The following is a 13,944-nucleotide window of genomic DNA, read 5'->3' as shown; positions in this document are numbered from 1 at the left end:
ACTGGTCTTTTCCTTAGCAATTTTACAGGAATTCTTTATAAATCAGAAAATTAACTTATAATAGGAGCTTCCTACTTGTCATTCGAGTTTTGACTTTGCTGAAGGTTATTTTTGTCATAGAACTTATTTTAAGGAGTCAAAATTATACAACTTTCCTTTTATGGTTCCTTGGTTTTGTGTCATCATTAGGGAGATCATTTATAACTTTTATATTTTAGTTTTTTAATAGTTAAGTCTTTGATTCACTAGGAAATTTAGTCCCAAATAATCAAAGTATGATCCAATTTCCCCCCCATATGGCTACTCACTTGTCCCAACTAATTAATAATCCATTTATCTCCATTTATTTGGGATGTCATCTTCATCATACTATTAATTTCTTTTCTGTATTTAGATATATTTCTGGACTCTCTGTTCTGTTCTAGTGATCTGTCTGATTATTCATTTGAAAGTTCCACGTGAGTTTAATCTTTGAGGTTTTATGTTTTATTTTACTTATTATTATTTTTAGACACAGGGTCTCGCTCTGTTGCCCAGGCTGGAGTACAGTGGCGTGATCATATCTCACTATAACCTCAAACTCCTGAGCTCAAATGATCCTCCTGCCTCGGCCTTCCAAGTAACTCGGCCTACAGGCACATGCCACCATATCTGGCTGATTTTTAAATTTTTTTTTATAGAGATGAGATCTCGCTGTGTTGCCCAGGCTGGTCTCGAGCTCCTGACCTCAAGTGATTACCCTGCCTTGGCCTCCCGTAGTACTGGGATTACAGGTGTGAGCCCAGCCTGATTCTGTGTTTTACTGATGAGTTCAGCAACCACCAAGTTGATTTATGTGAATTGCATTTAACCTTTTCCTGGAGTTAGGCTAAAGATCTTGCCACCTGCTTCTCTCACTTGAGATTTGAGATTAGTGTTTAGAAGTTTATGAATAAGGCCTCATGCATAAATAATTTTGAAATTGCTTTCCTGAAAAAAGTGGCACATTAGATTCACTATGATTTTTAAGAGTGAACTCTTACTGGGTGAATGGAATTGGTCACTAGGCTGTCCTGTCAGAATAGGCCTTAAGAAACCCGGCGGATGAGTGGTGTGGGGCAGGCGATACCACAGGGGATATAGTGCCTTCAGGGAGTGTTTATGGGTCATCTGGAGCTCTGTACAGGCCTTATTCTGAAATCCAGGGGGCTCAGAGATAGCCAGGAGGAAATTTTTCTGCTGATTTAACCCCCCTTGGGTTTTCCAAATCGGTATCTAATGCATTTGCAAAGGCACTGCAACTGCTAATTGCTCCCGTGGCCTCATCTGGCCAGCCAGCAACAGGCTACAAATCGATCTTTGTACAAGGTGTTTGTTTATAATTTATGGAGCTGATAGGAAGGCAGAGCCATCTGCTCCTCCAGGCATCAGTATTTCTAACCCCTCCCATTCCCTGCTAGGGCATTTTCACTTGGAAATCATTTCTAATTGGGAGGAGATTACATTGCAGAGTCTGGAACATGGCTTCCTGCTGTCTCCTGCATTGTTTTTTCTCCCTCCGGAGCTGCCCCCTGAAGTTCTAGAGCAGTTTTGATTTGAAAATCCTTTCTTTCCTAATCTTTATTTCCATTCTTCACTGCCCAGCTAAATACCCCATCATTTTTTTCCAATATGTTTTTTGCCTTTAAGTGAAAGCCAGTTGCTGGAGATGCATCTCCCAGACTAAGGATTATTTGACAAGGTCGCATTTCTCAGGTGTAGTCCCAGTCCGGCAACATCAGAGACACCTGGGAATTTGTTAGAAATGCAAATTCTCAGGCCCCGTCCCAGCATTCTGTGTTTTAATATGCCCTCCTGGTGAGTTTGATACGTGTTAAAGTTTGTGTGCTGCTGGGGTCACACAAGGTATGGAGCACCACAAAGACTTCTAATGGTGTGTAAGCTATAGCCGGTGTCTTCGGCTATATTTTACTTCTCCCTTTTCTCTCTACCTTATATTATTGTTGAATCCAAAAAGGATGAGTTAGTTGTTCTTTGTCATTAGTACATTACTTTCCTGTGGCCTAAATAAACAAGTAATTGAGATCCAAGAAATCTCTTCCTGTATGAATTAACTCATCAAAATTTCAGCCTTACGAGAGGAAGCTGCACAAGTGAATGGAAGCAGTGACACTTATTGTAACTGAACATTTCCTTTTCCACATGTGAAATTAATAGACAACAAACAGCAAATGTGAGAATGAAATTGTAAACAGAACCCAGTGCAATGGAGCTACCAAATCACTCTATGCCACCACATCCCATTAGGGTAGAAGTGAAACCCCAGATCATGAGCTGCAAAATTTCTGAAACTGAATATGCTACCGGAGAAGCTGTTACAATTTTCAGCATTCTCTTTTCGTTTGTCCTTTGCATATCTCTGTGAGCTCATTGCAGTAGCCAGGAAGAGTTATGAAGTTGGGTGGAGTCAGGGGAGAGGGCAGAATTTGGGAGATAGCTATTGACTTGGAATCGTCATCATATAATACAAATGCAAGCACAGTGGCCTGGATTTGAGGCTGACGAAATGCTTTTTGTCCATATGCCCAGTTTTTAAGGGGTTTTAGAGCCAAGCTTTCCAGAAGAAGGAAAATCTTACTTGTACTCTCCTCTGCACACCTTGTCTCCGTAAGCAGTTAAATGCTTTTTTGTGTGTTGGTGATGAGTTTTGAGGGTTACTATAGCCTTCTAGGTGTTTGACCAAAATAAACGTTAACACACACGAGCTGGATCTATGTAACAGCAAGATAGGAAAGTCTACTTTAATAACATACCCAACAGACATTTTCGAGACATTAAATGTAGATAAAATGGTAACTGTTCAAAGCTGTCTTAAAGCCCATAGAGTCTCATCTCCTTTCCTATTTAGGTTCATGTACTACTTAACATTTATGATTTCTTTATTTTCTTTCTCTCCCTGCTTTTGGTGGTTAGAGTGTAAATTGTTAGTTTCTGTTTATTTTTCTGAGCATTGTCAGCCTCAGAGTTAGAAAACCAAGATGGTCTCACTTCTGAAACTTCTCCCAGTTCCTTTGGTTCTATATCCCCAGCTGGATTCATGTGTTGATCCAGAAAAGGAGAGGGATATTGCCGTGTTTTGTTTTTGTTTTTGTTTTTGTTTTTGTTTTGGCAAAGGGCTTGGGACCCTGAGTAGTAAGTAGCAGACGGTCCCAGTGCTAATTAGATAAATCTAGCCTTACAGGCTAGACCAGATGGTGGGTTGGGAGTTGAGCAGTAGAAAGGCCTAATGGTGATAGCAGTGAGTATTTGGATATCATTATTTTATTAGTTAGCAAACAGAACCATCCTTGTGGTCCCTCTTCGGTTTTATGTGTAATGGTGCTGTAGGTGTCAGCCCCCGAGTTGGCACAATAGCCTAATCAATGTATTCTAATGCCTTTTTTGATATACACTGTCATCTCATTAGCAACACACAGGGAAAGGAGAACAAATAGAGTTTTACAAATCACTCTTAAGTATCAGATCACATAAGCCTGGGGGCCTCTGAAAGAGCAATTCCTTGTTTTGTTTTCCTTGAGGTAATTTCCTAGGGAAACTTGCCCTTGACTTTTTTTGGATTACTGCAGTAGATCACCTGGACTCTGGCGAGGGCAGCTGAGCTTGGCTTTTAAAAAATTACCACAATGCCTCTGACAGTGGACATCTCCTTCAAATAAGAGAAACAGTGAAAAGTTTTTTTGCTTGAGGTATATCTACATGAGACAAAGCCCTGATGAGCTTGGTCTGTTTGAATGTGTTGTGCTGTTCTGCCCGGGCCCATGATGTGGGCACTCTTGTTCTATGCTCACATCAAGGGTAAGCCACTTCTTCCTGGCAGGGAATCACACGGTGGGACTCAGAGGGATTCAAATGAAAACCGAAACAAGGCCTATAGGCACAGTGCCAGTTAACATCTCATTGGTGCTGTTGTGTGGAGTGGATGCTCCTCACCAACAGACATTCCTCCACCCTCAGATCTTGCCACCTTACCAGGCTGAGCCTGCTGCCTGCCTGACCCTGCAGTTTGTTCTCAGGAGCTGCAAAGTGCAGACTAGGGCTGTCATGGACATTGGCATAGAGCATAGTGGGAAATGAAAAGAGCCCTGGCCATCCAGCCGCAGCTGGGCTTTGTTCTGTTTCCTCTCTTGGTAGAGTTAGAGATTAGTATTAGCAAGGAGCTGTTCCAGAAAACTGGTCTCTAGATGTTCCAGTTCTCTTTCTCTTAAATGAGAAAGTAAGATACAAATTTATGAAATGACTTTCTTCTCCAAGGTCACATAACAGGTGTTGAATAGGATTCCTGCCCCAAGAAAGCTCTACCTGTATCATCTTTTTCTTGGAACCAGTGGGTTTGCATTTTCATTTATCTTGGTTTTGATCTCTGGGACAATAACAGCTGTTAAATGGCTCTCTAGGAATAATTTTTAATAACTTTTTCCTTATCTAATCTCTCAAGCGGTATTTCCTAAATGTGAACTAAGACTCAGCAGGTGGTTGTGGTGGTGTTGACTATCCTATAGTTTCCTGCTAAGGTGGGAGAAGAGACATACTTTTCTTGCCTCCTGTGTTTTGTTCATTTGACATTTTAGTTTGAATGAGAAGGTATTCTTTAGCATTTCTAGACAAGGTTCAGGCCCTTAGGAAGTCCCTAAAGTTTCTTGGCCCCAGAATTTTTACAGTATCAACTCCAAAGTTTCTTATCCTCTTTTCTTTCTTTGTCTGATGCAGCTTCCGTGAATGTGCTGGTGCAGAACTGCAAGATCTACAATGATGCCAGCTGTGACATTTCTGCAGATGGCCAGCTCCTGGCAGCTTTCATCCCCAGCAGCCAGAGGGGCTTTCCTGATGAAGGCATCCTGGCAGTGTACTCCCTGGCCCCCCATAACCTGGGCGAAATGCTCTACACCAAGCGATTTGGTAAGGGATAGGAAGCCCAACCTAATGACAGAGGGACGCTGGTGCCTTGGCATGGTCATTGCTAGGTGAGGCACAGCTTGGGTGGGAGTAATGGTCACATACTGCCCCTACCTTCACTGGGGCACAGGCCAGAGAAAGATTGCTTTGCAGGAGTGCTGGCTAGTAACATTGCAGAAGCATCTGAGCATTAGAGTCCTACCGCATGCCCCTGTTACGACGGTCAGGAATAAGGGAGGAGGTGGTTGTAGCACACACATGCACTGCAAGACAGTTTGGCATTGTGTATTTAAAACCTCCCAAAATGTGTCAGCTCTTTGGCAATCCAGCTTTTAAGGAAATAATCAGAAAACTATACAAAGATTTACATACAAGGGTGTTCACAGCAGTGTTACCATACAGAAAAATGCCAAATTGTTGCCTTGAGACTTTTTTGTTTGTTTGTTTGTTTGTTTTGCGGGAGGGTGGGGTGGGTGTTTTGTTGGTGTCACCTTGAGTTGAATTTAAGTGTTTTTTGTTTTTTTTTTAAGAGTTGACTAAACAAATGATGGTGCAGTGATAGAACTGCTCCATTGGCCCTTAAAATGCTCTTACAGAACAGTGTTCATAATGTATTAAATGAAAAAGGTGGGTTTCAAAATAGTAATTACAGGATGTTAACAATTTTTTAAAATGTTGATAACAACGGTTAGCATTTATTAAGTACTTTCTTTCTTTTTTTTTTTTTTTTTTTTTTGAGACGGAGTTTCACTCTTGTTGGCCAGGCTGGAATGTAATGGCGTGATCTCAGCTTACCGCAACCTCTACCTCCCGGGTTCAAGCGATTCTCCTGCCTCAGCCTCCCGAGTAGCTAGTATTACAGGCATGCGCAACCACGCCTGACTAACTTTGTATTTTTAGTAGAGATGGGGTTTCTCCATGTTGGTCAGGCTGGTCTCAAACTCCCTACCTCAGGTGATCCCCCGACCTCGGCCTCCCAAAGTGCTGGGATTACAGGCATGAGCCACCGCGTTCAGCCTTATTATGTGCTTTCTATATGTCAAACACTACACTCAGTATGTATATGCCTTCTCATCATACTCCTCACTACAGTCCTATGAGATAACACCAGGATGAGCAAGTGAATATGAAGATTAGAGAAAAAGACAAGAGTAAGAGTGAAAGTTGTTTCCTTGGAATGGCCAGAAGCCTAGGAAATATTTCTCTGTTTTGTTGGCCCTCAGGTCCCAATGCCATTTCGGTGAGCCTGTCCCCAATGGGCAGATATGTAATGGTGGGCTTGGCCTCACGAAGGATCCTGCTGCACCCCTCCACAGAGCACATGGTGGCCCAGGTCTTCAGGCTGCAACAGGCCCATGGTGGAGAGACCTCCATGAGGGTGAGTGCCATTGCTTGTGCCTTCACTGTATGGCAGCTCCCCTAGGCTTGGAAGGGTAATGAGGGGACAGTGGTGTGACCTCCCAGCCAGGACCAGAGCTATCACACAGTCATAAGGAGTAAGGAAGGGCTGTAGTCAAGCCCATCCATGACCAGCAGGCTTCATTTGTGGAAGCTCTGGACTATCAAAGGCCTTTCCTCACACCCTAGAATATGTGCTGCATTCCCCAGAGGCCTGCAAGTATCTTCAGATAAACTGAATACTTCCTTACTTCTACGTGAAACTTTTAATCTGGAGATGCATAAAGGACCCAATGAAATGCTTATTTTTAAAGCTTTTTGTGTGTGTGTGTGAGGGAACAAGCTGTAAAAAGTAATAGTATGCCATGAAATGTTTTTTTTCTGTGGGTTATAATTATGATGGAAGATGAAGACTTTAGGCAGTTGCTGTATTCTTAATCATCCCATTCATTTCACCAGTGGAGAAAAGGTCCTGTCTAGGACCCTGTCTTGTCTAAGGCACGTCTCTCTTATATTGCCATAAAAGCCTTCTGGGCATCCTGTGGTTCGTGGCCTTTTGGCCTCAGCCAGACTAACGTGCCTGAGTGAACGTCCCACGTCCCATAGGTGCTCATTTAGCCAGGGTTTTGTCAAGGGGATTCAAGCATTTGAACAGTTCTCTAATTAGATAGTATTCAAGCTTTGTCAGAATCCAAGAACCTGTGAATTTCCTTAGTACTTTGTGCAATCTGTACCATTTATAGTTGGATGTACTTGTTGGTCCATTTTTTGTCTTCTTTAGCTGTGTAGCGTATGTGTTTAATCCACCCAATTCGGTTCAGTGTAAGCTCCTTAGAGGGATATCCCTCAGGTCCCTCATTTAGTGCTGTGCATGTAGATGGCTGTTGAATATCTGGAATGGGAAGCATTTGTTTTAAATAAAAAAACTAGAGATAGCACCCATTATATACAAAGTGATAGAAAGTGGGTGGCCTGGTGTGGTCCTTTCCTCTCCAGCCTCTTCTCCCTCCTGTCTCCTACAGATATCCTCTGTCCAACTACACTGAGCCACTTTTCAAGCTTCTTGAATTTGTCAAAGTGCCTTCTTGCCAGGGTACCTTTACTTGGAATGCCCTCCTGTCCCCTATCTCCAGCTACCTGCAAGCTTTTTACTTTCTGTGGCATCCATCTTAATAGAATTGATCACTCGTTCCTTGTGCTATCATTGTACCTCTTACACATTCTCATGTCAGTACTTGTCACACCAAACTGCAGTTATTTGTTTCCATGTCACTCTCTTCTCCTGGGCTGTGAGCTCCTTGAGAATAGAGACTGTGTCTGTTTTATCTTTATGAAGTCCAAGAACTTCATGCGGAACCTGACACTTAGTAGAAAGTGAATGAATGAATGAAAGAGAATCTCAAAAAAAAATAAATAAATAAAAATAAAGCATCCTCTTTATCATTTCTAGGTGGTAACTAGCAGAACCAATGATGGGTAACATAACATCATGTCCCACCAAGCTTCTGAAAGGAAAACAAGTCATTCTGTCCTCTTGATATCACAATGACAAGAAAGTTCTGATCTTGAATTCCATATGGCTGGAAATATTTGACATTGGGTGAATAGGAGATGTCATTGTGGGATGTTCATCAAGTCTATTTTCTTATCTAGATATTTGAGGATGGAAGTTGAGTTTTCATTTAAATATTCTTCTTTTGCTTCTCTTAAGCAGAAGCTGGTCTCTGCTTTTCACCACCTGGAATCCCAGTCCCAACAGCTGCTCTTCTAACCCTTCCGGCCTAATTGTGGAATAATCGTTTAAATCATTAAGAGACAGAATCTGATGTTGGTAGCTCTGACAGACCTCTCTAGCTTCTTTCATAAGCCAGGGCTCTTGCCCAGCTCCTGCACACAGCCTGCCAGTTCTCCATCTTAGCACAGTTCCACTTTTCCATAGTAGCCAGAAACATCTGGCTGAAGACAAACAGTTACAAAGCAGAAGCCAAGGTGATGGGATCTGTTGTCACATATGGGGCTGGCAGCTCAAGGAATGTGGTTCTCTGCTGAGGAGATGTGGTAATCCAGTCAGCCCCTGGCTGTCCTGCCAAGGGTCTCAAGGCAGCTAGCCAGCAGCTGCATGCTTGGTGACTGGAGCTACTACTACTGCCAGGCTGCCTGGTGAACCTTTTTTGATTCTCAGTAGGTACCATCTGCCACCAAGCACTAAGAAAGGGAGCTGAAGTACCTAGAAAGTTCCCATTTGGGAAGTGTTCCTGTCACCCAAGAGACAGGATCAAGGCATCTCAACAAGGTTTAGGTCAACCAAGTGTCCACCCAGTCTGACTTTAAACCCCCATGCTACAGAAAGGTTTCTGGTTTTCCAGGTCTTGGTTGCCCCTTACGTCCAAAGGCACCAGATCACTCAGCAAATGTCCCTGAATTCAGTGATTGGTGGAAGGGAAGACACCAGCTTTTTTGGATAGCTGTGCTGTATCACCGTTTAAGGCAAGAAGTGAATTTTTGTCTGAGAACAGGGAGCAAGGGTTTAATGGGACAGTACAGCATCTCCCTCTTTGCACAGGTAAGTATAGGTGGGTGTCTCCATCTCTAATGTCAAGCTCTGACCATAAAGGAATGCTTTAGTGGGTAATGGGCCTGTCCTAGAGCTTTGCTACCCAGAATTCCCCTTCTGTCTGGTGTTACCTCTTGGAATTCACTGTGGTAATGTTCAGAGAGGCAAATGTGTTGGGCCAACAGACATTCCCAGGAGAACATCCTCCAGAGCATTGATTTATTTTAAGATGGCACTAAGTGACATCTCTCCCCAAGAGATGATCTCTGACACAATCCCATATGAAAACTCTTCTGAAAATGAATTGCTAATTGCTATTAGCCTTGATGCACTTACTCTAAGCAGTTCTTCAGACTTCTGGATCAGTGCTTCTCAAACTGTGGTTCTTGGACAACTTACAGTAGAACTACATGGGTCCTTATTAAAATACAGATCCATTTCAGACCTAAAATCAGAATAAGAATGGGAGTCAGAGGGACCCAGGATTAGTATTTTTAAAACAAGATTTCTTCATTTTAGGTGTCTGCCCTCAGCCTCCTCAGCAAGGCAGAGTCAGTCTCAGGTCTACTTGCCATTGTGGTTTTGTGCATGGTGCTTTGATTCTTTGCTAATTATGTTGCAGGCACAGTGGTGTTTGTCTTCTGTTTCCTACCAAACTCAGCTTTTTTGGCTGTCTGCGCCTCACCTCCCATCTTTTCTAGGCTGTTGCTGCTTTCCAGGTTTCTCCCTTGAATAGCTGTATGTGCTGGAGTCTTTTCTTTATGTTGAATCATTTTAATTTTTGTCCTTATTTCTAGGATCTAGGGTCCTTTTGATCTTTCCCTTCTCTGTTTATCGTGCTAGTCCTCCCAGTTTTAATGATGGGTAAGTCAGGAAAGTAAGACTGGGCACATATTTTCTCTCTCCCTTCCCACTGTCCATTTGCGATTCCTCCAGACTGGATATGCTACTCTCTATGACTCAGAATCTTATTTTCTGTCTGATTCCCTTCTGCTTGAGCCAGAGAGGGCTTTTTGTTAATTTTTGTTTTGTTTTTAGGTTAAGCTTTTAGAGACTGCTGAGCTGAAGTTTTGCTGAATTCTCAAAACACTAAACTGCCTGTGTTCCCTCTCGGCTTTCATTTTCTAATTGGAACCAGGCACAGTATTGTAACAGAGAACTGCAATTAATTTTCTAAAATAGTGGCAACTTGCACAGTATAATAACTTTGGTTGTAACCAAGTGAAAGCATAATAACAAAAATACAAAATTACTGATGAAACCAGAAAGAGTCATATACCACATTCTTCCTTTAGTTTGTATCTCAGTAAGTGCTGTGTTACTTAGGAATAGGGGCAGAAGCCTGCAACTGGGCAGGGAGGTTCAGGGACATGAGGACGAAGCTAGGGCATTTTGAGCTAGAAAGCAAGAATAAGGATTAGTGCTTTCAACACTGGAATTAACATGGACCACCCCCCCACCTCCCAATAAGTGGGGATTGTAGGCACATAAGTGGTTTAGTAAGAAGTGGAAAAGGTTTTTCTGTGGAGTTCGAGTTCCATCGGCTCCCATCCGGGCTATCCTGCCACCTTAGCGGCTGCTCCTCCCCAGGATGCGGGCAGGGGGCCTCTCTCCCACTCCCCACACACCGATTTCTGAGTAGCGATAGGGGCTGGAGGCTTATTTTATGGGGTAGGGGGCCGCTGGTAGGCGAAGATTGTCCGAGGGAGAGGGGGAGGATGAAGCCAGTGCGTGGCGGAGACCTGCCAGATGTTGATGCCTAAGAAGAACCGGATTGCCATTTATGAACTCCTTTTTAAGGAGGGAGTCATGGTGGCCAAGAAGGATGTCCACATGCCTAAGCACCCGGAGCTGGCAGACAAGAATGTGCCCAACCTTCATGTCATGAAGGCCATGCAGTCTCTCAAGTCCCGAGGCTACGTGAAGGAACAGTTTGCCTGGAGACATTTCTACTGGTACCTTACCAATGAGGGTATCCAGTATCTCCGTGATTACCTTCATCTGCCCCCAGAGATTGTGCCTGCCATCCTACGCCGTAGCCGTCCAGAGACTGGCAGGCCTCGGCCTAAAGGTCTGGAGGGTGAGCGACCTGCGAGACTCACAAGAGGGGAAGCTGACAGAGATACCTACAGACGGAGTGCTGTGCCACCTGGTGCCGACAAGAAAGCCGAGGCTGGGGCTGGGTCAGCAACCGAATTCCAGTTTAGAGGCGGATTTGGTCGTGGACGTGGTCAGCCACCTCAGTAAAATTGGAGAGGATTCTTTTGCATTGAATAAACTTATAGCCAAAAAACCTTAAAAAAAAAAGAAGAAGAAGAAGAAGAAGTGGAAAAGATCCTCATTGCCTAATCGCTGCAGATCCTAGAGGCACTAGGAACTTGAATCTCACCAGGCGTAGTTTGCTTTTCTCTCGGGTCATTTTATTGGCAGAAGGGATGACTAAGGACACCTTCATTTGACTTGGGTTGAGGAGGAAGCTCTGGGATAGAATGCAGTTTTGCTCCCCCTTCTCCATGGAACAGTATTGTGGTCTTTAAGGGAAAGCCTCCAATACCTAAGGGTCAATTTTATTGAAAGCTTTTTCTTTGTGGCCATGTGGTAAAACCGTAGCCAAGAGTTGAGTGAGTGTTACCCAGACAAATCAATAGTTCGTAGGACACATTGAAAAGAAAGTATCCATCTCTCTCCCTCTCCTCTTCTTCCCCTCCCCATTCCCCTTCTTCTTTCTTCCTTTCTTGACCTAAGAGTTTTGCTGGTCAGTAGTGGTCTATCCCTTTATACCCCTTCTCCCTCTAGAGCGCTAGCAATATGCCTCCCCCTCACCCTAAACAGGTCCCAGGCAGCAGGGAAGGAAAGCATATTTGTTACTTTTTTTTTTTTTTTTTTTTTTTGACATGGAGTCTCCCTCTGTCGCCCAGGCAGGAGTGCAGTGGCACAACCTTGGCTCACTGCAACCTCCGCCACCTGGGTTCAAGTGATTCTCCTGCCTCAGCCTCCTGATTAGCTGGGTCTACAGGCACTCGCCACCACTCCCGGCTAATTTTTGTATTTTTAGTAGAGACAGGGTTTCACTATGTTGACCAGGCTGGTCTCGAACTCCTGACCTCAGGTGATCCGCCCACCTCTGCCTCCCAAAGTGCTGGGATTACAGGCATGAGCCAGCGCTCCCGGCCTGTTACCATTTTTTATAGACCTACATCCCACCCAAATCTGATTGCACAGCAGTTCTCAATGTGTGCCCCCAGGGGACCACATCAGCATCTCTAGGGAACTTATTAGAAATGCAGATTCTCAGCCCCACTTAAGATCTGCTGAGTCAGAAACTCTGGGGGCGAGGCCCAGCCATGTGTGTTTTAACAAGCCTTCCTGATGACTCTGCGCGCTAAGTTAAGAACGAACCATGGGCTGTAGGGCGATTCCATCTAGACCTTGCCTGTCAATGTATCTTGATCCTTTCCGCTTTTGTTCTTGCTCTGTCTCTTACTATCTCTGAAAATAAACATTAGATTGCTTGCTTTCTTTTATACCGTTGGGTATCCATCCTTACAGAGACTAATGATGGCTGCTGCTGCTGCTGCTGCTGATCAAGTTCATTAAAATGAACCATAGAAAAAACTTGGGATCCAGACTTCTCAAATTAGTGGTAACTATAGTTGTGGCTTAGATCCTGGGTCAGGATGAGTGCCCAGTGCTGTCAGCACTGACCAGAATTTATATAACTTCACAAATATAGGCTCTTTTGACTTGTCCCAGCTTTATTCTTCAATCTACAAACTTCATTATGACTCTCTCCTTCCCTGCCCTTGAATTGAACTTATAATATAGTCCTAATCATCTGTGCTTCCCTATATTCTGCAAATTTGATTTCCAAAAGTGACCTAGAATTCTAGTTCAATCCAGAGTATTCTCTAGAAATCTAAGGAAACTGAGCCTTTTCTTAATCTTGTCTGGACTTGGGGGTGGCAAATACCAAAAATAATGATATTTTATTTTTGTATCCTGGAAGGGTACTATTTCTTCAAGGGGAGATTGGGATAAAAGACAGATGGCTTTGTTGTCAGAAATGATTTACTCCTTCCTAAAATTTTGTCCTCATTAATTTTCTTAAAGCTGCCTGTCAGTTGATTAAAAGCTGCTTCCGCTGCAATTATCTTAAAGTTGACTTCTGAGATGTGGCACAAAGCATCTATCCTCAAAAAGTTCTTTTCTTCAGAACATTGTAGGAAAAGGGGGAAGAAGTATAGGAGAAGTAAGAGGTGTCTCTGGTGTGATTTGTCAGAGAAGGGAGGGGGGCAAGATAAAAATTAAAAATAACACTAGAACTGCAGTCAGAGCCATTCATTTAGGAAATTTTTCCATGACAGATTCACCAACTCTGACAGTGTCTTTCCTCTGTGGCCTCTTAGTAGAGTGCAGTCTATGCTGCATTTTATTCTCTTCACTCAAAAAAACTTTATTGAGCCCCTGTCATTGGTCTAGGAATGCAGCAGTGAACAAAATGGACCTAGTCCCTTCCTCTGTAGTGCGTCCATGTGCAATGCCTGGCTTCTTCTGGTCTTTTCACTGCCATCTCCCCAGCCCTCACTGTGCTTAGTTAGCTGCGGGAGGCATGCAACGTTTGCTTCCTAAGTGTGTGTTACTTTGAAATCTCATGTGCCCTGGGTTTCTCTGCATGTCCACGCATGTGCACCCTGCTCACCACCACTATCACTGTAACAGCCCATTACTCAGTACGCCCTAATTGAATCAAGGTAGTAATGAGATAATCCTGAAAATAGGGAGCATCTTACTCATTTCCACAATGTTTTCTTTCTTTTTTTTTTTTTTTTATTTTGAGATGGAGTCTCGCCTCAGCCTCCCGAGTAGCTGGGACTACAGGAGCCCGCCACCACGCCCAGCTAATTTTTTTGTATTTTTAGTAGAGACGGGGTTTCACCGTGTTAGCCAGAATGGTCTTGATCTCCTGGCCTTGTGATCTGCCCACCGCAGCCTCCCAAAGTGCTGGGATTACAGGCGTGAGACACCACGCCCAGCCCGCTGTTTTCTTTTTTTTTGTTTTT

General features: G+C 43.6%; 1 protein-coding gene and 1 pseudogene across 10 annotated transcripts in view, besides 1 other annotated feature; both read left to right on the top strand.

Annotated features, from left to right (window-relative positions):
• Positions 1-13,944, top strand: part of AMBRA1 (autophagy and beclin 1 regulator 1) — a 197,612-nt gene that overhangs the window by 154,240 nt on the left and 29,428 nt on the right. For 9 of the 10 annotated variants that reach the window (NM_017749.3, NM_001367470.1, NM_001367469.1 and 6 more), the window contains 2 exons: positions 4,747-4,935; positions 6,156-6,310. In NM_017749.3, the coding sequence (NP_060219.2) occupies positions 4,747-4,935; positions 6,156-6,310 (344 nt within the window). Of the gene's footprint in view, positions 1-4,746; positions 4,936-6,155; positions 6,311-8,696; positions 8,894-13,944 lie in introns of all 10 variants that reach the window. The other variant, NR_160027.1, reaches the window with a different exon arrangement.
• On the top strand, positions 10,403-11,183 carry RPS10P19 (ribosomal protein S10 pseudogene 19; annotated as a pseudogene).
• Positions 11,829-12,420: an enhancer, noted in NCBI's record as "OCT4-NANOG hESC enhancer chr11:46448914-46449505 (GRCh37/hg19 assembly coordinates)". NCBI's record gives its function as "activates a minimal SCP1, AML or CMV promoter by ChIP-STARR-seq in primed H9 embryonic stem cells {active_cell/tissue: H9 hESC(primed)}" and the evidence as "EXISTENCE:reporter gene assay evidence [ECO:0000049][PMID:30033119]".

This window comes from Homo sapiens, chromosome 11 (assembly GCF_000001405.40).
Source record: "Homo sapiens chromosome 11, GRCh38.p14 Primary Assembly".
NCBI lineage: Eukaryota > Metazoa > Chordata > Mammalia > Primates > Hominidae > Homo > Homo sapiens.
This window is presented reverse-complemented; position numbering and strand designations above follow the sequence as displayed.